Source organism: Homo sapiens, chromosome 17 (assembly GCF_000001405.40).
Source record: "Homo sapiens chromosome 17, GRCh38.p14 Primary Assembly".
NCBI lineage: Eukaryota > Metazoa > Chordata > Mammalia > Primates > Hominidae > Homo > Homo sapiens.
In genome coordinates, this window is record NC_000017.11 from 28,819,243 (window position 1) to 28,842,315 (window position 23,073).

The window sequence follows — 23,073 nt, forward strand, 5'->3', positions numbered from 1 at the left end:
TCATAGCCTTAAGGAATACTAACATCACATAAAAAAGAGTTGAATGCCACAATATACAAAGAACTCTTATAACTAAATAAGAGGAAGACAAATAACCAAAGGGGAAAATATTCAAAGAATATGAGATAGTAAATCACAGAAGAAATACATAAAGTCAAAAATTATATATATATTCCATTTTGTTAGGTAGTGGTGGAAAGTGCCTTCTCCATACAGTCCTAAAGGCATTTTGTCTTGATAGTACTGCCAACTGCAAGCTTCCAGAGAAACTTGGGCTATTTTGAATGAAAAAAATAATGATAAAGATGTCAAGCATAAGTAATACATTCCTAAAAATATTTAGAAGTTTTATGAAATACCTAATCTAGGAAGGAAACTATTCAATATAATGGATACATATAAGCTACAAATTAAATCCAAGAGAACTAAAATATGAATATAAAATGAACCTTTGCCTATGAATGTAAAACAGTTGAAGCCAATCCCTAAGCCTAGAATGAACAAAGCTGATGATGAAAGCAAATAACAGGGAGTCTTACTACAACCACAGAAATAAAACGTCTCTAAGAAAATAAAATTACTCAACTGTCTTTGCTGTGAAAGCATGTCATTCAAGGACCCTTTTAGCAGTCACCAAATGCAAATGCAAAAGCAGATAATGCCTGAGTCCAGCAAAAGCAAGTACAGTCTTCCCATCAAAGAGGAAAAGAAACCTAAGCCTTTCACTTGTCCTTGATACAAAAAGGTAAATGGATTGTGAAAGAACTCAAATTCCAGAAAAAAAGATTCCAGTCCAACCTGCATAAAGCTAAAAAAACTTCATGTTACTTTGTTCTAAAATTAGCAACACACAGGTCCCTATACTAAAAACAATATATACGATCCCAGGTGAGGTGTCAGGGTAAAGTTCCCAGCACGTCAGCAGACTATCCCATAACCATTTCAGTTTTCCCTTTTTGGCTTTTAGACAACATCCCAATTTTCCTCTATTGTTAATGTCACTTAAAAGGCTGAGAAAAATTTAGTTCAACAGATTCAAATTTCAATGTAGTTCCTAAGTACATTACAGGTAATGATGCCACTGATTCTATATTTAGACTCTGGTATGGAACAAGGAGTGTTAGTTTTGTCTAAAATGGTACCATGTCACTCTTCAAAGCCTAACTGCAACAATCACCTAATCCTGCATTAAAATGTCTTTAAGGTGTTACCTATAGCAAGTTAAAATGTTTTTTCAGTGTCTTTTGTGTGTGAGTGTTTCTATTGATTGGCTGTGATGCTATAAATATAGACACAATAAGTCACTCCCATCAGGCCTTTAAACATTCAGCAATGCAAGTACCATAAGGTGGAATTCATTCCTCATCTGAACCAAAAAGCAAAAATGGTAAAACTTTTTTTTTTTTTTTGAGGCGAAGTCTCGCTCTGTCACCCAGGCTGGAGTGCAGTGGCAAGATCTCGGATAACTGCAACCTCTGCCTCCTGGGTTCAAGCAATTCTCGTGCCTTGGCCTCCCGAGTAGCGGGAATTACAGGCGCCTGCCACCACGCCCAGCTAATTTTTTAAAATATTTTTAGTAGAGATGGGTTTTCACCATGTTGGCCAGGCTGGTTTCAAACTCCTGACGACCTTAAATGATCCACCTGCCTCAGCCTCCAAAGTGCTGGGATTACAGGAGTGAGCCACTGCACCCAGTCTGGTAAAACTCTTTTTATTTTATTTTTTTTTTTTTGAGATGGACTCTCGCTCTGTTGCCAGGCTGGAGTGCAACAGTGCAATCTCGGCTCACTGCAACCTCCCCCACCTGGGTTCAAGCGATTCTCCTGCCTCAGTCTCCCAAGTAGCTGGGACTACAGGCACGCGCCACCACACCCAGCTAATTTTTATATTTTTAGTACAAACGGGGTTTCACCATATTGGCCAGGATGGTCTCGATCTCTTGACCTCGTGATCCACCCACCTCGGCCTCCCAAAGTGCGGGATTACAGGTGTAAGCCACTGCGCCTGGCCAAAACTCTAATAATATGAACATTCTAAAGTGATCTAATAGTACTTATAAAAATATATTGCCTCCTCAAAAGGAATTTAAGGCCTCTCAATAAAAAGCATGTTGCTTATTTTCACAACATCCCAATAAAGAACTATTATTTAGCATTTATATCACACTTTAACTTGCAAAAGTGTTTTACAATTATTTTCATTAGTAGTCATGCATCACAACCACCCAACAAGCCAAAATGGTCCTGTTATCCTCATTTGACAGCTGAGAAAACTGATGTACTTTAAGAACAAGGTCAAGTCAGTCTGCTTTTCTTATAGACCAAGGGCCTAACCCTTATAAAAAGTCTCATTCGCTCACCAGTTACCTGTATTGCTCATAAAAGTAGTTAAAGCAGGTTTTTGGAAATAGGAGTCCATATAAAATAATCGTACAGGGCCGGGTGAGAGGTGGCTCATGCCTGTAATACCAGCACTTTGGGAGGCTGAGGCAGGTGGATCACATGAGGTCAGGAGTTGGAGATCAGCCTGGCCAACATGGTGAAACCCCATCTCTACTAAAAATACAAAAATTAGCTGGGCGTGGTGGCGCATGCCTGTAATCCCAGCTACTCAGGAGGCTGAGGCAGGAGAATCGCTTCAACCTGGGGCTGGGCAGAGGTTGCAGTGAGCCGAGATTGCACCATTGCACTCCAGCCTGGGCGACAGAGCAAGAGTCCGTCTCAAAATAAATAAACAAATAAAATAAAATAATGGCACAAAAACACTGAAAGATACTAATTCAACAAAAATACATAGTCAGGCTGGGTGCAGTGGCTCACGCCTATAATCCCAGCAATGGTGCGATCTCGGCTCACTGCAACCTCCCCCACCTGGGTTCAAGCGATTCTCCTGCCTCAGTCTCCCAAGTAGCTGGGACTACGGGCACGCGCCACCACACCCAGCTAATTTGTATATTTTTAGTACAGACGGGGTTTCACCATACTGGCCAGGATGGTCTCGATCTCTTGACCTCGTGATCCACCCACCTCGGCCTCCCAAAGTGCGGGATTACAGGCATGAGCCACCACGCCCGGCCTAAAAGTATTTTTTAAAAAGGCCAGGCAGCACAGTGGCTCACGCCTGTAATCCCAGCACTTTGGGAGGCCGAAGGCAGGTGGATCACCTGAGGTCAGAAGTTCAAGACCAGCCTGGCCAACATGGTGAAACCCCGTCTCTACTAAAAATACAAAAATTAAGCTGGGCGCAGTGGCATAAGCCTGTAATCCCAGCACTTTTGGGAGACTGAAGTAGGAGAATCGCTTGAACCCGGGAGGCGGAGGTTGGAAAGAGCCGAGATTGCACCATTGCACTCCAGCCTGGGCAACAAGAGCGAAACTCCACCACAAAAAATAATAATAATAATACAAAATTAGCCGGGCATGGTGGCAGGCGCCTGTAATCCCAGCCACCTGGGAGACTGAGGCAGAGAGAACTGCTTAAAACCCAGGAGGTGGAGATTGCACTGAGCTGAGATCACGCCACTGCACTCCAGCCTGGGCGATAGAGCAAGACTCCATCTCAAAAAAAAAAAAAAAAAAAAAAAAAAAAAAATATATATATATATATATATATATATATATATACACACATATATATATATACACACACACATATATGAATATAGAATTAGCCAGGCGTGCTTCCATGCGCAGGTAGTCCCAGCTACTCAGGAGGCTGAGGCAGGAGAATCACTTGAACTCGGGGCAGAGGTTGCAGTGAGCCAAGATCACGCCACTGCACTCCAGCCTGGGCAAGAGACTGAGACTCCATCTTGGGGGGAAAAAAAAAACATATTCAACTGGAATACAAACAGGTAAGTACTTAGTTACAATGACACAGGAAGTTTTCAAGGAAACTGGGTGCCAAAACCTGTTACCAAACAAAAACAAAAAAAATGATCAAATGTTTCTTCATCTTATTTTTCCCCCTCAATCAACTACAATTAGACTTCTATTTCCACCACTCCAATGAACGGTTCTACTGGAAGTCACCAATAATCCCTAGGTTGTCAAATCCTGTGAGTACTTCTCTGTTACGTGACCTCTATATAGCATTCAACAGAGCTCACCACTCCGTTCTATTTTTTTTTTTTTTTTGAGAAAGTGTCTAGCTCTGTCACATGGAGTGCAGTGGTGCAATTAGGCCGGAGTGCAGTGGCACAATCACCACTTACTGCAGCCTCAACCTTCCAGACTCAAGCAATTCTCCCACCTCAGCCTCCTGAATACCTGGGACTGCCATAGGCATGTGCCACCACAAACAGCTAATTTTCTATTTTTTGTAGACACAGGATCTTACTATGTTACCCAGGCTGACCACTCCCTTCTTGAAACACTTCTTTACTTGCCTTCTAAAACATCACTTTCTGGGTTTTCCACCTATCTCACTAGCTATTCCTTCTCTTTCAAATTGCTCTTCTCTAGCCACAAACCATCTGTAGATGACCTCCTGATTAAATACCATGACTTCAAATTCTATCTATTTCAGCTCAGAATTCTCCTAGGAATGCCAGGCATTTCTATCCAACTGCCTATCTAATTTCTCCATTTGGATACCTAACAAGTATCTCAAACTTGGCAGGACCAAAAGAGAATTTTTTTTTTTTTTTTTTTTGAGACGGAGTCTTGCTCTGTCGCCCAGGCTGGAGTGCAGTGGCACAATCTCGGCTCACTACAAGCTCTGCCTCCCAGGTTCATGCCATTCTCCTGCCTCAGCCTCCCAAGTAGCTGGGACTACAGGCGCCTGCCACCACACCCAGCTCATTTTTTGTATTTTTAGCAGAGACAGGGTTTCACCGTGTTAGCCAGGATGGTCTCGATCTCCTAACCTCATGATCCACCCGCCTCGGCCTCCCAAAGTGCTGGGATTAAAGGCGTGAGCCACCACGCCCGGCCGAGAATTTTTTTTTTTTTTTTAATTTTAGACAAGTTATCACTCTGTTGCCAAGGCTGAAGTGCAATGGCACAATCACAGCTCACTGCAACCTCCACCCCCTGGGCTCAAGCCATCCTCCCACCTCAGCCCCTCAAGTAGTTGGGACCACAGGCATGTACTACCACACCTGGCTAATTTTCTTATTTTTTTGTAGACACAGGGTCTCTCTATCTTGCCGAGGCTCGTCTGAAACTCCTGGGCTCAGGTGATCCTCTTGTCTCAGACCCCCAAAGTGCTGGGTTACAGGCATGAGCCACCACTGTCCAAGAATTTTTGACAATTATATTCTGCTAGTCTTACCCATATCAATTAACAGCAACAACCATTTACCTCCCTGGTTGCTCCAGTCAATAATATAGAAGTTATCCATGATTCCTTATTACCTCACTTCCAAAGGTGTAACAATCCCAAAGCAAGCCCTGTCAACTTCACTTCCAAAAGATATGCCAAATCTGTCATCTTTCCACAGCTTTTATACCATCACCCCAGTCCAAGTTACCATAAAGTCTCATTTGATTCGTGCAAAGAGCCTTGTTACTGGTCTCCTTGCTTCCTTCTACAACCCATTTCTTTTTGAGGTGGAGTTTCGCTCTTGTTGACCAAGCTGGATTGCAATGGCATGATCTCAGCTCACCGCAACCCAGGTTCAAGCAATTCTCCTGCCTCAGCCTCCCGAGTAGCTGGGATTACAGGCATGTGCCACCACGCCCAGCTAATTTTGTATTTTTAGTAGAGATGGGGTTTCTCCATGTTGGTCTGGCTGGTCTCGAACTCCTGACCTCGGTGATCCGCCCGCCTTGGCCTCCCAAAGTGCTGGGATTACAGGCGTGAACCACTGTGCCCGCACTACAATCCATTTCTAACATAGCAACTGAACATTCTTTCTAGTCACAAATCGACTCATATCATACTCGTACTTAAAAACTCCAAAGGAGGCTGGGTGCAGTGGCTCACGCCTGAAATCCCAGCACTTTGGGAGGCCAAAGCAGGTGAATTGCCTGAGCTTAGGAGTTTGAGAACAGACTGGGCAACATGGTGAAATCTGGTCTCTACCAAAAATACAAAAAAAATTAGCCGGACGTAGAGGCGTGCACCTATGGTCCCAGCTACTTGAGAGGCTGGGGTGGGAGGATCCCTTAGCCCGGTGGTGGAGGTTACGGGGAACCAAGATTGCACCACTGCACTCCAACCTAGGTGACAGAGTGAGATCCCGTCTCAAAAAAAAAAAAAAAAAAAAAACACTCCAAAGGAAACGAAACACCTTACCCTAGCTTCCAAATCTCACTGTCACCTAGCCTCTGCCTTTGTCATCTCGTCATTCTCTCCCTCATTCACCGTATTCAAACAACACTGGCCTGATTTCTGTTCCTTCAACATACCAAGCTCATTCCTCCTTAGGTGTTCTGCACTATAATGTTTGATCTGCTGATCTTCATATACTCCTAGATCTTAAATGCCATATCCTTAGAGAGATATTCTCCCAATATAAAGTAGCTATCAATTCATACTATCACATCCTCTATTTTTCTGTACAGTGTTTATCATTAACTGATTTTTATTTATTTTGTTTTATTTTTGAGATGGAGTCTCGCTCTGTCTCGCAGGCTGGAATGCAGTGGCGCGATCTTGGCTCATTGCAACCTCTGCCTCCTGGGTTCAAGAATTCTCCTGCCTCAGCCTCCCAAGTAGCTGGGATTACAGGCACCCACCACCATGCCCGCCTAATTTTTGTATAAAAGTAGAGATGGGGTTTTGTCATGTTGGCCAGGCTGGTCTTGAACTCCTGGCCTCAAGTGATCTGCCCACCTCGGCCTCCCAAAGTGCTGGGATTACCGTGCCCGGCCATTAACTGTTTTTTTTGTTGTTTTTTTGAGACTGAGTCTTGCTCTGTAGCCCAGGCTGGAGTGCAGTGGCACGATCTTGGCTCCCTGCAACCTCTGCCTGCCGGTTCAAGCGATTCTCCTGCCTCAGCCTCCTGAATAGCTGGGACTACAGGCTCATGCCACCACACCCAGCTAATTTTTGGTATTTTTAGTAGAGACAGGGTTTCACCATGTTGGCCAGGCTTGTCTCGAACTCCAGACCTCAAGTGATCTGCCTGCCTCGGCCTCCTAAAGTGCTGGGTTTACAGGCATAAGCCACCCACGCCCGGCCATTAACTGATTTTTAAAAAGCTGTCTGTTGCTGGACAGGTTGGCTCACGCCTGTAATCCCAACACTTTGGGAGGCCGAGGCCAGTGGATCACCTAAGGTCAGGAGTTCATGACCAGCCTGACTAACATGGTGAAACCCTGTCTCTACTAAACACAAAAAAAACAGCCAGGCGTGGTGGTGCATGCTTGTAATCTGAGCTGCTTGGGAGGCTGAGACAGGAGAATCGCTTATACCTGGGAGGCAGAGGTTGTGGTGAGCCAAGATGGCGCCATTGCACTCCAGCCTGGGCAACAAGAGCAGAACTCCGTCTCAAAAAAAAAAAAAAAAAAAAAATCTGTTTGTTGTCTGTTTGCCCTCATTGGAATGTAAGCTCCATAACAGCAGGGACTTTGTCTATCTTGTTTTGTGTACTGCCAATGCTGAAAACATAGTAGAAACTCAATACATTTGGCAGGCTTAGTTGTTAGGTGCTGAAGTTAAAAAGGTGAAAAAGGGCCAGGCACTCACCACCTGTAATCCCAGCACTTTGCGAGGCTGAGGTGGGAAGATCACTTGAGGCCAGGAGCTTGAGACCAGCATTGGCAATATAGCAAGACCTTGTCTTTGCCAAAAAAATTTTTTTTTTCATTAGCCAGGCACAGTGGCTAGTGTCTATTGTCCTAGCTACTTGGGAGGCTGACACGAGAGGATCATTTAGGCCCAGGAGTTTGAGGTTGCAGTGAGCTATAACAGCACCACTATACTCTAGCCTGGTGGAGAATTAAACTCTGTCTCAAAAAAAGAAAAAAACAGCCTGGACAACATATTGAAACCCCATCTCCACAAAAAATTTTAAAAATTAACTTGCACGCTGGCTTGCATCTGTAGTCCTAGCTACTTGGGAGGCTGAGGCAGGAGGATTGCTTGAGCCCAAGACTTTAGAAGCTGCAGTGAGCTATGACAGTGCCATGGCACTCCAAGCCTGGGTAACACAGTGAGATCTTGTCTATTGAAAAAAAAAGAAAAAGTGAAAAAGGAATAACCCCTACCTACAAAAAGCTCACAATCCAGATGAGGAAACAGAATAGCAATTAAATAATAAATGTAAGGAACATGCATTCTATTTAATAGAATGAGATGCTGTCATTTAAACAATGTAAAAAATAATAATAAAGGTAATGTTAGCAGGATAGTAAAATGTCAGAGTAGCCCATCAGCAAGAGTGATTAATACTGCCTTGGGAACAGGGAAGACTTCACAGAAGAAATTAACTATGAGCTAAATCCTAAAGCTTAATTAGGAGAGTCTTAGTTATGTTTGTTCAGATAATTGTTTATGTTTGTCTATTTTGGAAGAAATGTCCTTGGAAGAAAAGAAAATAGCTTGAGCAAAAATATAATAAAGTGAGGAAGGAAGATGGAATCAAGCATCTGCTATGTATCAGGCACTAGGGTAATGAAGGGCTTTAAAGGGAAAGGGCATAAGTAGTCTTACAACTTAGGAAGATCATTCTTGTGGCAGTGTGGTGGACAGACTAGAGGGGTGATAAGCCTTGAGACATGCAGATTAGTTAGGAGGCTACTGTAACTGTCAGAGTTAAGAAATAAAAAAGGTCTCATCCAAGAATTTGGCAATATGGTATAAATGAAAAAATGCAGATTTAGGAGAACTTCAACATTAAAATCAGACCTGGGACCAACCAGATATGTCGGATAAGGGGTAAGGAGAAATCAAGATCAAATCCAATTTTTTTTTTTTTTTTTTTTTTTTTTTTTTTTGAGACAGAGTTTCACTCTTGTTGCCCAGGCTGGAGTGCAATGGTGCGATCTCGGCTCACAGCAACCTCCGCCTCCCGGGTTCAAGCAATTCTCCTGCCGCAGCCTCCTGAGTAGCTAGGTAAGAGGGAAACCTTGTCTCAAAAAAACAAAGTGAGCTGGGCACAGAGGCTCACACCTGCAACCCCAGCAGTTTGGGAGGCTGTGGTGACCAGATCACTTGATCCCAGGAGTTCACGACCACCCTGGGCAACATGGCAAAACCCCATCTCTAAAAAAAAATACCCACAAAAAATTAGCCAGGCATGGTGGCGCACCATCTGTAGTGCCAGCTACTCAAGAGGCTTAGGTGGGAGGATCGCTTGAGCCCAAAGGCATAGGTTGCAGTGAACTGTGATTGTGCCACTGCACTCCAGCCTGAGCTACAGAGAAGACTCTGTCACGAAAAAAAAAAAACAAAAAACATACAACTGCATTTCTAAGTAAAATAAATTCAAAAGGATTTAAATTTTCTAGACTTTTCACTTTTAATTATGTAAAATGTATTAAAAAAGAAAATTAAGCTAAAAATTCAAATGTATTTAGGGAATTACATTTCTGGAATTAGTCTTTAAAGTCTCTCTTCTCTGCCCCAGACAAAAATAACATTCTTTTATTGTTCAGTTCTAAGAGTTCTCATAAATGCATAGTTGTGTAACCACAACTACAATCAAAATACGGAACAGTCATGTCACCCCCAAAAAATTTCCTCATACTACCTCTTTGCAGTCAACTCTCTACTTTTTTTTTTTTTTAATTGAGACGGAGTCTCGCTCTATCACCGGGCTGAAGTGCAGTATGGCGCCATCTCGGCTCACTGCAACCTCCGACTCCCGGGTTCAAGCGACTGTCCTGCCTCAGCGTCCCGAGTAGCTGGGACTACAGGTGCGCGCCACCATGCCCGGCTAATTTTTGTATTTTTAGTAGAGATGGGATTTCACTACATTGGCCAGGCTGATCTCGAACTCCTGACCTCGAGATCTGCCCGCCTCGGCCTCCCAAAGTGCTGGGATTACAGGCGTGAGCCATCACGCTTGGCCACCCTCTCTCTACTCTTTTTTTTTTTTTGAGACGTGGTTTCACTCTTGTTGCCTCAGCTGGAGTGCAATGGCGCCATCTTGGCTCACCGCAACCTCCGCCTCCCGGGTTCAAGCTGCGCCACCACGCCCAGCTAATTTTGTATTTTTAGTAGAGACAGGGTTTCTCCATGTTGCTCAGGCTGGTCTCAAACTCCCGACCTCAGGTGATCCGCCCCAACTCGGCCTCCCAAAGTGCTGGGATTACAGGCATAAACCACTGCGCCCGGCCCACTGTCTCTCTAGTCTTACCCAAAGGCAATCACTGATCTGTTCCCCACTGTCCTTATAGTTGAGTTTTCCCCAGAACATCATACAAATGCAATCATACAGACCATAGCCTTTTGAGTTTTGTTTCTTTTACTAAGCATAATACCAATGAGTTTCATTCATGTTATTGCATATATGAATAGTTCCTTTTTATTGCTGAGTAGTATTCCATTGTGTAGATACATTAGTTTGTTTATCCATTCCCCAGCTGAGAGTCATTCAGGTTGTTTCCAGTTTGTGGTGACTATAAATAAAGCTGCTGTAAACAGTCACATACAAGTTTTTTTGTGAACACAGATTTTTATTTCACTTGGATAAATACTTAGGTCATTTTTTTTAAATTTTTTTTTTTGAGACCGAGTCTCACTCTGTCTCCCAAGCTGGAGTTGGAGTGCAGTGGCGCGATCTCGGCTCACTGCAACCTTCACCTCCCAGGTTCAAGAAATTCTCCTGCCTCAGCCTCCCGAGTAGCCGGGACTACAGGCGCAAGCCACCATGCCTGGCTAATTTTTTGTATTTTTAGTAGAGATGAGGTTTCACTGTGTTAACCAGGATAGTCTCCATCTCCTGACCTCGTGATCCACCCACCTCGGCCTCCCAAAGTGCTGGGATTACAGGAGTAAGCCACTTCGCCCAGCCTCTTTATACATTCTTTTTTTTTTTTTTTTTTGAGAGCGTGTCTCACTCTGTTGCCCAGGCTGGAGTGCAGTGGCGCGATCTTGGCTCACCACAAGCTCCGCCTCCCAGGTTTACGCCATTCTCCTACCTCGGCCTCCCAAGCAGCTGGGACTACAGGTGCCCGCAACCACGCCTGGCTAATTCTTTGTTTTTTAGTAGAGAAGCGGTTTCACCGTGTTAGCCGGGATGGTCTTGATCTCCCAACCTCGTGATCCAGCTGCCTCGGTCTCCCAAAGTGCTGGGATTACAGGTGTGAGCCACCACACCCGGCCTATACATTCTTAATATGAGCTGTATGTCTGATACATAATTGGCGAACATTTCTCCCAGTGTGTTGCTTATATTTTCATCTACTTGACAGTCTTCTGCAAAGCAAAAGTTTTTAATTTTGATGAAATCCAATTTATCAACTTTTTATTTTTATGGATCTTGCTTTTGGTGTCATATCTAAGAACTCTTTGCCTAACTCAATGTAATAAGGATTTTCTCTTATCTTCTTTTAAATCTCATAGTTTAGGCCGGGCATGGTGGCTAACACCTGTAGTCCCAGCACTGTGGAAGGCTGAGGTAAGCAGATGGCTTGAGCCCAGGAGTTTGAGACCAGCCTGGGCAACATGGCAAAACCCCATCTCTATTAAAAAAAAAATAAAATAAAATAAAGTTAAAATAAAATAATAAAAATATTTTATAATTTTACAAATTACATTTAGGTGTAATTGTTGAGATGACTATTCTTTCTCCACTGAATTGCCTTTGCACCTCGGTCAAATATCAATAGCCATACTTAATAGTGTGAATGTTTCTTTTTTTTTTTTTTTTTTTTTTTGAGACGGAGTCTCGCTCTGTCACCTTGGCTGGAATGTAGTGGAATGGTCTCGGCCACTGCAACCTCTGCCTCCTGGGTTCAAGTGATTCTCCTGCCTCAGCCTCCTGAGTAGCTGGGACTACAGGTGCTCACCACCATGCCCCACTAATTTTTGTATTTTTAGTAGAGATGGGGTTTCACCATGTTGGCCAAGCTGGTCTCAAACTCCTGACCTCAAGTGATCCCCCACCTCGACCTCCCAAAGTGCTGGGATTACAGGCATAAGCCACCGTGCCCGGCCTGAATCTATGTCTGAACCTCTGTTCTGTTCATTGATCTATGTATCTATCCTTCTGCCAATACCACACTGTCTTGATTACTGTAGCTCTTTATTAAGTCTTGAAATCAGATAGTATGAGTCTTCCAACTCTGTTGTCCTTTTTCAAAATTGTTTTGGCTATTTTAGTCCCTTTGCCTTTCCATATAAATTTTAGAATTAGCTTGTCAAAGGCTTTTTTTTTTTTTTTTTTTTGATACAGGGTCTCACTCTGTCACCCAGGCTGGAGTGCAGTGTTGCGATCTTGGTTCACTGCAACCTCCGCCTTCTGGGCTCAAGCAATCCTACTGCCTCAGCCTCCAAAGTACCTGGGATTACAGGTGTGAGCAACTATGCCAGGCTAATTTTTGTATTTTTTTGTAGAGATGGGATTTCACCATGTTTCCCAGGCTGGTCTCGAACCCTGGGAACTCCTAGGCTCAAGCAATACACCCACCTCTGCCTCCCAAAGTGCTGAGATTACAGGCATGAACCACCATGCCTGACCATGTCAAAGACTTTTTAAACTTTCCCACAAAGTGTCTACTTTTAAGTAGGGGTTAGCTTCCTAGATTTACTTAAAGAAAAAAACAATGCTGGGCCGAGTGCAGTGGCTCACGCCTGTAATCCCAGCACTTTGGGAGGCCGAGGAGGGCAGATCACAAGGTGATGAGATCGAGACCATCCTGGCTAACACGGTGAAACCCCGTCTCAACTAAAAATACAAAAAAATTAGCCAGGCGTGGTGGCAGGCACCTGTAGTCCCAGCAACTCAGGAGGCTGAGGCAGAAGAAAGGCATGAACCCGGGAGGCGGAGCTTGCCGTGAGCCGAGATCGCGCCACTGCACTCCAGCCTGGGCAACACAGCAAGACTCCATCTCAAAAAAAATAAAATAAAAATAAAAAATAATAAAGAAAAAAACAATGGAGGTATTAGGAGGATTAGAAATCTAATATCTATTTTTCAAGATTCTAAAGTTTTACTTGCACAGCTGTTCTGAGATTTCCTGCAGTTGTCCAGAAGAAAAGAAAAATGTTTTATTTAAAGATATGTATTATTGTTTAGTACAACAGAGTTGAAAACCCATTTTTCATAAAAGACAAGCTATTCATTCCAAACAGATAAAATGTTAAGCTTCTTGCACTTTACAAACAATGGTCCCTCTGCTGCCAATGATCTTCCTCTGACTCTTCACCTAAATCGTACACATCCTTCAGGTCTTACTTTGGACAATCCTCCATGCACAAGCCTTCCTTGATTCTCCCCAAATATGGGTTAAGGGTTAACATATTTCCATTACACCCTAAAGACCTCTATCATCACTCTTAACTCTATAATTGAGAGTTAACTTGTTTCTCCCATCAGGACATAAACTCTGGGTATGAAGGAGAAAACACTAAATATTTACATTTTAGCTCCTAGCAGAGACAGAGAAATACATAAGTCTGTTTTGAATGACCAATTGCTTTGAATAACAGCAAGAAGGGGGAGAAGTTGAAAATAGGATGTCCTACCTTGCAAACAAGCTACAAAAAGAATCCTCCAAAAAAGTGGAAAGTGATACCAGTTAAAAAAGAAAGGCTGGGCACAGTGGCTCACACCTAAAATCCTAGCACTTTGGGAGGCTGAGCCAGGAGGATCACTTGAGGCCAGGATTTTGAGACCACCCTGAGCAACACAGTTAAGACTCTGTCTCTATTAAAAAAAAAAAAAAAAAAAAAAAAGGAAAGGGGCCAGGCACGGTGACTCAGGCCTGTAATCCCAGCACTTTGGGAGGCTGAGGCAGGCGGATAACAAGGTCAGGAGTTCGAGACCTGGTGAAACCTGGTCTCAACTAAAAATACAAAAAATTAGCCAGGCATGGTGGCACGCGCCTGTAGTCCCAGCTACTTGGGAGGCTGAGGCAGGAGAATACCTTGAACCCAGGAAGTGGAGGTTGCAGTGAGCTGAGATGGCCCCACTGCACTCCAGCCTGGGCAACAGAGGGAGACTCCCTCTCAAAAAAATAAATAAATAAATAAGTTCCACTGGGCATGGTGGCTCATGCCTGTTATCCCAGTATTTTGGGAGGCCGAAGCAGGTGCATCACCTGAGGTCAGGAGTTCGAGACTACCCTGGCCAACATGGTGAAACCCCGTCTCTACTAAAAATACAAAAATTAGCTAGGCGTGGTGGTGTGCGCCTGTAGTCCCAGCTACTTGGGAGAGGCAGGAGAATTCCTTGAACCCAGGAGACTGAGGTTGCAGTCAGCTGAGATCGTGCCACTGTACTCCAGCCTGGGCAACAGAGTGAGACTTTGTCTCAAAAAAAAAAAAAAAAAAAAGAAGTTCACAGAAAAAAAAAATTGAAAAATAAGGAAAAGGACTAGCACTGTACTATGAAGTAGTAGTTGTCATGCCACATTCCTGCAAAACTAATCTCTCAAAAAGATACGAATGAACAACATATAAAGCAACTGAAGCTTGGACTCACAGAGTCATCAAGCTGACTTTCACTACTAATATGCTAATGACTACTAAATCTGTATCTCCCTTCTGAACCTTTCTACTCAAGACCTAGGTATATCTGGAAGCCTATTGGATTTCCCAGATACCTCAAATCCTATATACCAAAATCAAACTTATTTCCTTCAAATGTAATACCCTCTTTTACTCTTGTATTCCGTAACTTGGTTAATGACATCACATTCCACTTAGTTGTCCATGCCAGCAATTTCAACTCCATCTTTGACAACTCCTTCTTCTTTACCCGTCCTCCAATATAAAGTCAATGAGATCCTTTTAGTTACTCTCCTAAAAAGTTCTCCAATCAGTCTACAATTCCACCATGACTACTGTACCTGATTTCGTCAATCTCTCAAGTCATCACACCATTCTCCCAACCAACTAGTCTCCCTACAATCAATTGTGCCTTTTAAAGTCTAACTTCTATACTGTCAACAGAGTTACTTCTACTTAAATAGTGATCTAAACATGTTCCTTACCTGGTTTAAAAACTCTTCCATGACTCCTCAGCACCTACAAAATAAAATTCAGACCCCTTACTAAGGTCATCCATAACTGGATTCCAACCCATCTCTCACCTCACTTTCTTCTACTCCTTCCTCATACCCCATGATCCTGCCACATTAAACTAGTCCACATGTCCATACTTCTTGCACATCTGTATCTTTGTACAAGCTATTTTCTGCACTTCAAACAGTAACTTTTCCAATCCTTTTTTTTGCTGACTCAGCCAAATTGTATTCCTCCTTCAAGACCCAACTGACTCTTTCTCTAGGAAGTCTTCTCTAACTTTCCCCTCCCACTACAAGGCAGAACTAATGTTCCCATAGCACTTAGTACAGATCTCTATTACAGCACTTATTGTACTGACTCAGAACTATTTATGTGTTGGTCTCTAATTAAAATGTGGCTGGTCCGAGTGCAGTAGTGTTTACAAGTAATTGATATAAGAAGTTACAAATTTCTTTGTTGCTTCTTCATTCCCACTGCTTCACTTGGCTAGCCTTAAAAAAAAAGAAAAAAAGAAAAAAAAAAAGTCAATTTTTTTTTTTTTTCCCTGAGATGGAATCTCACCCTGTTGCCCAGGCTGGAGTGCAATGGCGTGACCTCAGCTCACTGCAACCTATGCCTCCCAGGTTGAAACGATTCTCCTGCCTCAGCCTGCTGAGCAGCTGGGATTACAGGCGCCCACCACTACACTCAGCTAATTTTGTGTGTGTGTGTGTGTGTGTGTGTGTGTGTGTGTGTGTGTGATGGAGTCACGCTCTATCGCCCAGGCTAGAGTGCAGTGGCGTGATCTCAGCTCACTGCAACTTTCACCTCCCGGGTTCAAGCAATTCTCAATCCTAGCCTCCTGAGTAGCTGGGATTACAGGCACCTGCCACCACGCCTGGCTAATTTTTAGTAGAGACGGGGTCTCACCATCTTGGCCAGGATGGTATTGAACTCCTGACCTCATGATCCGCCCACCTCGGCCTCCCAAAGTGCTGGGATTACAGGTGTAAGCCACTGCATCTGGCCAACAGTGAACTCTTTAAAAATGATTTTGTCATTTATATTTTAATTCCCTCCCAGCGCCTAGTACAAGACATAACACATGGTAGACACTTAAATATTTGCTGAAGTTGACTGCTGAAAGGATCAACTCCAACATTTTTTCAATGAGGCCACAGAATCCAAAAAGCTTACGATTCAAGCCTAGTTATGGCTTACTGGTAGAAAAAAAGACATTACACAAATTCGCAAATTGATACTTATGTTGTTTCTAGATTTGCATATTTTTCCCAACTAGTTTCAGGGTTAGTTCCCAGAAAATTGGTAACCAAGTAAATCTTTTAAACAAAACAGTTTTTTGTTGTTGTTTTAAATAGGGTCTCACTCTGTCGCCCAGGCTGGAGTGCAATAGCGAGTTTACAGCTCAGATTACTGCTCACTACATCCTTCATCTCTTGTACTCAAGTGATCCTCCCACCTCAGCCTCCCAAGTACCTGGGACTATAGGTGCATGCCACCACACCCGGCTCATTTTTTTTTATTTTTTTGTAAAGAGAGGGTTTCACCTTATTGCCCAGGCTGGTCTGGAACTCCTGGGCTCAGGTGATCCTCCTGCCTAGGCCTCCCAAAGTGCTGATATTACAGGCATGAACCACCATGCCAACTTAAATCACTTCTTATTTTTATTATATATTTTTTTCAGAGTCTCCCTCTTGTTGTTGCCCGGGCTGGAGTGCAGTGGCATGATCTCGGCTCACTGAGACCTCCGCCTCCCGTGTTCAAACAATTCTCCTGCCTCAGCCTCTCAGGTAGCTGGGATTACAGGCGTCCACCACCACACCCAGCTAATTTGTGTGTTTTTAGAAGAGATGGGGTTTCACCATATTGGCCAGGCTGGTCTCAAACCCCTGACCTTGTGATCCACCCGCCTCGGCCTCCCAAAGTGCTGGGATTACAGGCATAAGCCACCGCGCCTGGCCCTAAATCACTTCTTAAATGACCTATATTTTCCCATGAAATAGTATGATCCAGTGTTGTACCAAACCACCATTTAATAATTGAGCCAGCATACGCCTGTAATCCCAGCACTTTGGGAGGCCATGAGGCGGGCTTGTAGCAGGACAAGCCACAGACAAAACCCCTCAGATGCTGAGTTAAAGAAGGAAGGGCTTTATTCGGCCGGGAGCTTCGGCAAGACTCACGTCTCCAACAACCGAGCTCCCCAAGTGAGCAATTCCTGTCCCTTTTAAGGGATCACAACTCTAAGGGGGTCTGCGTGAGAGGGTCGTGATCGATTGAGCAAGCAGGGGGTACGTGACTGGGGGCTGCATGCACCAGTAATTGGAACGGAACAGAACAGGATGGGGATTTTCACAGTGCTTTTCTATACAATGTCTGTAATCTATAGATAACATAACCTATTAGGTCAGGGGTCGATCTTTAACTACCAGGCCCAGGGTGTGGCGCCGGGCTGTCTACTGGTGGATTTCGTTTCTGCCTTTTAGTTTTTACTTCTTTCTTTGGAGGCAGATATTGGGCATAAGACCCATATTGGGCATAAGAGGGGTGGGCTCCTCCCTTAAGCTGATCACCTGAGGTCAGGAGTTCGAGACCAGCCCAGCCAACATGGCAAAACTCCATCTCTACTAAAAGTACAAAAATTAGCCAGGCATAGTGGCGGGCACCTGTAATCCCAGCTACTCAGGAGGATAAGGCAGGAGAAGCTTGAACCCGGGCAGTGGAGGCTGCAGTGAGCCAAGATCGCACCCCTGCACTCCAGCCTGGGTGACAAGAGTGAGACTCCATCTCAAAAAGTAAATAAATAAATACATAAATTTAAAGGCCAGGTGCGGTGGCTCACGCCTGTAATCCCTGCACTTTGGAAGGCTGAGACGGGTGGATCACGAGGTCAGGAGATCGAGACCATCCTGGCTAACACAGTGAAACCTCGTGTCTACTAAAAACACAAAAAATTAGCTGGGTGTGTTGGTGGGCGCCTGTAGTCCTAGCTACTAGGGAGGCTGAGGCAGGAGAATGGCGTGAACCCGGGAGGCAGAGCTTGCAGTGAGCCGAGATCGAGCCACTGCACTCCAGCCTGGGCGACCGAGGGAGACTCCGTCTCAAAAAAAAAAAAAATAAATAAATAAATTTTTAAAAAAATTGAGCCAGCAAATCTGATTACCCCTCCTTGTATTAAATGCATCTGTAATAAAGAAAATTTAGTATTTTTCTTGTTAAATTGTAGTCCTTTTCACTATAAGTCACAGAGCTTTGACAGGGAAACAATCGAGACCCTGAGAGGTAATAAGACAGAAATAGATATTAAATACTTCTTTTTGTTTTTTTTTTTTTGTTTTTTGAGACGGAGTCTCGCTCGCTGTTTCGCCCAGGGTGGAGTGCCATGGCATGAGCTCGGCTCATTACCACCTCCACCTCCTGGATTCAAGCGATTCTCCCGCCTCAGTCTCCTAAGTAACTGGGATTACAGGCGGGTGCCACCATGCCCAGCTAATCTTTGTATTTTTAGCAGAGACGGGGTTTCACTTTGTTTGCCAGGCTGGTCTTGAATTCCTGACCTCAAATGATCCACCCACCTCGGCCTCCCAAAGTGCTAGGATTACAGGAGTGAGCCAACATGTCCGACCAATAATTTTGTTTTTAAATAGAATGTTTTTAGGCCGGATGCAGTGGCTGACGCCTGTAATCCCAGCACTTTGGGAGGTAGAGGCGGGTGGAACATTTGAGGTCAGGAGTTCGAGACCAGACTGGCCAGCATGGTGAAACACCATTTCTACTAAAAATACAAAAATTATCCGGGCAGTAGTGCCATGCCTGTAATCCCAGCTACTCAGGAGGCTGAAGCAGGAGAACTGCTTGAAGCAGGAGAACTGCTTGAGCCAGGGAGGCAGAGGTTGCGCTGAGCCAAGATGGCGCCACTGCACTCCAGTCTGGGCGACAGAGTGAGACCCTGTCTCAAAAAAACAACAAATAGGCCGGGCGCGGTGGCTCACGCCTGTAATCCCAACACTTTGGGAGGCCGAGGTAGGCAGATCACAAGGTCAGGAGATCGAGACCATCCTGGCTAACACGGTGAAACCTCATCTCTACTAAAAATACAAAAAATTAGCCGGGCGTGGTGACGGGCACCTGTAGTCCCAGCTACTCAGGAGGCGGAGGCAGGAGAATGGCGTGAACCTTGGAGGCGGAGCTTATAGTGAGCCGAGATCGCGTCACTGCACTCCAGTCTGGGCGACAGAGACTCCATCTCAAAATAAATAAATAAATAAATAGAATTTAAAAACAAAAAAAAGATTTTTGGCTGGGCGCGGTGGCTCACACCTGCAATCCCAGCACTTTGGGAGGCCGAGGCAGGCGGATCACCTGAGGTCGGCAGTTCGAGACTAGCCTGGCCAACATGGTGAAACGTCATCTCTACTAAAAATACAAAAATCAGCCAGGTATGGTGGTACGCGCCTGTAATCCCAGCTACTCAGGAGGCTGAGACCAGAGAATCACTTGAACACAGGAGGCAGACGTTGCAATCAGCTGAGATCTCGCCATTGCACTCCAGCCTGGGCAACAGAGTGAAACTTGGTATCAAAAAAAATAAAATAAGGCCGGGCATGGTGGCTCATGCCTGTAATCCCAGCACTTTGGGAGGCTGAGTCGGGCAGATCACAAGGTCAGGAGATCGACACCATCCTGGCTAACACGGTGAAACCCCGTCTCTACTAAAAATATGAAAAGAAATTAGCCAGGCATGGTGGCGGGTGCCTGTAGTTCCAGCTACTAGGGAGGCTGAGGCAGGAGAATGGCGAGAACCCGGGAGGCGGAGCTTGCAGTGAGCCGAGATCGCGCCACTGCAATCCAGTCTGGGCAACAGAGCAGGACTCCGTCTCAAAAAATAATAATAATGATAATAATAAGCCAATAAATATTTATTTTAGCCCCTGGTATGTCAGAGATTCACAGGAAGTCCTTAAATCTCCAAAGTTCCTCTCCCACTTTAGAAAAACTTCTCACACGAAAGGCAATCAAGATACTAGCCCACCCCTTTTTCTTCCCCAGGGAAAGAAATCCTCATTTTGTAAGGTCATTTACTACATAAAAGTAACCACAAGTAGGAAAGATAACAGAAGGAGAGGAGGACAGGAAATTCTCATCACAGCTGAACAAACCTCTATTATTTTAACATAACATGGGTGGCATTTATGCGCTTATTTGAACTGATGGAAATTTCCAGTAGGGGGAAAAATGCATTACCAACATTAAAAATAAATGTCCAACTATTAAAAAATAAAATAAGATAGCTATGCCCAGCTTTAACATTTTATACTCTACTCCATGTAGTAGTCAAACATGGAATAAATTTCTGTAATGACCTATCACAATAGTAACAAATGCTTTATTTTTAAAACTATTATCTTAAACAAAGTATTATAGACAAATAATCTATTGGGACGGTCAAGGAACTAAAGTAAAAAGGTTAAAATTATACATCACTGTGCATTTCCAGGAAAGAAAAGTGAAACACATTTTACCAGACAGAGAAGTTAAAAACAACCAGGTTCATTTTTCCCATTCCTGTAAATTCACTCCCCTTATTTGTGAATCTTCAAGAATCTAGTATAGCCCCTCCCTACCTTTACTCAGGTAAAAGACCAATCACTCATCAATTGCCAAAACGCCTTGACAGTTTAAGGTCTCAATCCTCAGAGTCAGCAAAGCTGAAGTGTCTATGTCCTTTTAAAAGGAGTCTGCATCTCTACTTTAGAAACCATTTTCTCACTGCGCTTGGTGGCTTACGCCTGTGATCCCAGCACTTTGGGAGGCCGAGGCAGGCGGATCACCTGGTTCGAAACCAGCCTGACCAAAATGGCGAAACCCCATCTCTACTAAAAATACAAAAACTAGCCGGGCATGGTGGTGGGTGCCTGTAATCGCAACTACTTGGAGGCTGAGGCAGGAGAACTGCTTGAACCCGGGAGGTGGAGGTTGCAATGAGCCGAGATTGCGCTACTGCACTCCAGCCTGGGCGACAGAACAAGACTCTGTGTCAAAACAAAATAAAATAAAAAGAACCCATTTTCTCTTTCCATAAACACATAGTTTGTCCTCTGCTTTGTCTACATTAAAAAACACGTCTCAGGAGTGTTTCTTCAGCCTCTCAGGAAAACCAAGACACCTCTTGGGCTCCTCTTCTGAGATATTCCACCTGAGAGATCCCACTGACAAGCAGGGTAACAAAAAGCAGAGCTAGAGGGCTGCCTTATGCATATCTGACCTCCAAAACAGCGACAGGTCCCCGGAGCAGCCAGAGACTCCTTTGCAAAGGAGAACTTTTTATAATTTAAAAATAATAAAATGGGCCAAGCACGGTGGTTCACGCCTGTAATCCCAGCACTTTGGGAGGCTGGGGCGGGCGGATCACCTGAGGTCAGAAGTTTGAGACCAGCCTGTCCAGCAATGGAGAAACCCCGAGTGTACTAAAAAAAATACAAAAATTAGCCGGGTATGGTGGCACGTGCCTATAATCCCAGGTACTAGGGAGGCTGAGGCAGGAGAATTGCTTGAACCCAGGAGGCGGAGGTTGCAGTGAACCAAGTTCGCACCACTGCACTCCAGCCTGGGTGACAGAGCAAGACTCCTTCACCCACCTCAAAAAAAATTATAATAAAATAAAATAAAAATAAAGATAACAAAATAGCCAGGCACGGTGGCTCACGCCTGTAATCCCGGCACTTTGAGAGGCCGAGGTGGGTGGATCACCTGACGTGAGGAGTTCAAGACCAGCCTGGCCAACATGGTGAAACCCCATCTCTACTAAAACTACAAAAATTAGCCAGGCGTGGTGGTGGGCATTTGTAATCCCAGCTACTCAGGAGGCTGAGACAGGAGAATCGCTTGAACCCGGGAGGCGGAGGTTGCTGTGAGCCGAGATGATGCCACTGCACTCCTGCCTGGCGACAGAGCGAGACTCCGTCTCAAAAATAAAATAAAATATAATAAACAAATTATATTTTCACATCCCTCACTGGGCAGCCCTCCCAGCTTGTCTCAAACTAGTTTTCTTAACTCTTTTTTCCAGACGGAGTCTCGCACTGTCACCCGAACTGGAGTGCAATAGCACTATCTCGGCTCACCGCAACCTCTGCCTCCCGGGTTCGAGTGATTCCCCTGCCTCAGCTTCCCAAGCAGCTGGGATTACAGGCGCCCGCCACCACACCCGGCTGATTTTTTGTATTTTTAGTAGAGACGGGATTTCACTACGTTGGCTAGGCTGGTCTCCAACTTCTGACCTCGTGATCCGCCCGCCTCGGCCTCCCAAAGTGCTGGGATTACAGACATGAGCCACTGCACCCGGCCTTTTCTCAACTCGTTAAAGCACATTAGTGCCAACTGTGTTATAAGGCAACATGAGTTAGCTATGTTCAGAAAATATTTTAATAGATTGGCCCTCCATCCTTTCGGGTGAGGAGCTGCAAACCGTTTGTAAAAACGCCGGAGTACGGTATTTTTCCTACAGAAGTCTGATGGCTAATTTATCACATTACAGAACTGGTAGTTCTGCACATGGTCTGCTGTGCCCATAAAGAAAGCACATATGTGTCTACTGAGGTTTTACAAACAATACGCTTCTTATCTTAACAGAGAAATCAGTCATTCCATTAACAACGGTAAGGTCTAAATTCCACTAACATTGTTGGTGATACATTAACATCAACATAGTACTTACAATTCACAATTTGCATAAACAATCTCAATTACATAGGTGATGCTTGCAATAGCCCGTTTGAAGCATGACATCTTCCTGGTGTTCAGAAAGGTTAAGTGGGACCTGCCCAAGGTTACCTAACAGCTTTATCAATGGTGGACTTCCTTTCGAACCTGCCTGACTCTAAGCCCCTAGCTCTTTTCCCTAGACCCCTCCCGGCTTTCAAAAGAGGGTTCCCGACTCCCATCCTCTACCCAGAGCAGCCTATTACTCCGGGAGACCGACCCTTCCCC

At 44.4% G+C, this 23,073-nt stretch overlaps 1 protein-coding gene across 19 annotated transcripts in view, besides 3 other annotated features; it reads right to left on the minus strand.

The window, feature by feature from the left end:
- Positions 1–23,073, minus strand: part of FAM222B (family with sequence similarity 222 member B) — a 99,025-nt gene that overhangs the window by 63,263 nt on the left and 12,689 nt on the right. For 10 of the 19 annotated variants that reach the window (XM_047436383.1, XM_047436379.1, XM_047436374.1 and 7 more), the window contains exon 2: positions 15,051–15,084. The exons of the other annotated variants lie outside the window; for them this stretch is intronic. The gene's annotated coding sequence lies outside the window, so the exon portion shown is untranslated. The remainder of the gene's footprint in view (positions 1–15,050; positions 15,085–23,073) is intronic. 19 annotated transcript variants of the gene reach the window in all.
- Positions 2,695–3,196: an enhancer, noted in NCBI's record as "H3K4me1 hESC enhancer chr17:27148955-27149456 (GRCh37/hg19 assembly coordinates)". NCBI's record gives its function as "activates a minimal SCP1, AML or CMV promoter by ChIP-STARR-seq in naive H9 embryonic stem cells {active_cell/tissue: H9 hESC(naive)}" and the evidence as "EXISTENCE:reporter gene assay evidence [ECO:0000049][PMID:30033119]".
- Positions 3,197–3,696: an enhancer, noted in NCBI's record as "H3K4me1 hESC enhancer chr17:27149457-27149956 (GRCh37/hg19 assembly coordinates)". NCBI's record gives its function as "activates a minimal SCP1, AML or CMV promoter by ChIP-STARR-seq in naive H9 embryonic stem cells {active_cell/tissue: H9 hESC(naive)}" and the evidence as "EXISTENCE:reporter gene assay evidence [ECO:0000049][PMID:30033119]".
- Positions 18,402–19,285: an enhancer, noted in NCBI's record as "H3K27ac hESC enhancer chr17:27164662-27165545 (GRCh37/hg19 assembly coordinates)". NCBI's record gives its function as "activates a minimal SCP1, AML or CMV promoter by ChIP-STARR-seq in primed H9 embryonic stem cells {active_cell/tissue: H9 hESC(primed)}" and the evidence as "EXISTENCE:reporter gene assay evidence [ECO:0000049][PMID:30033119]".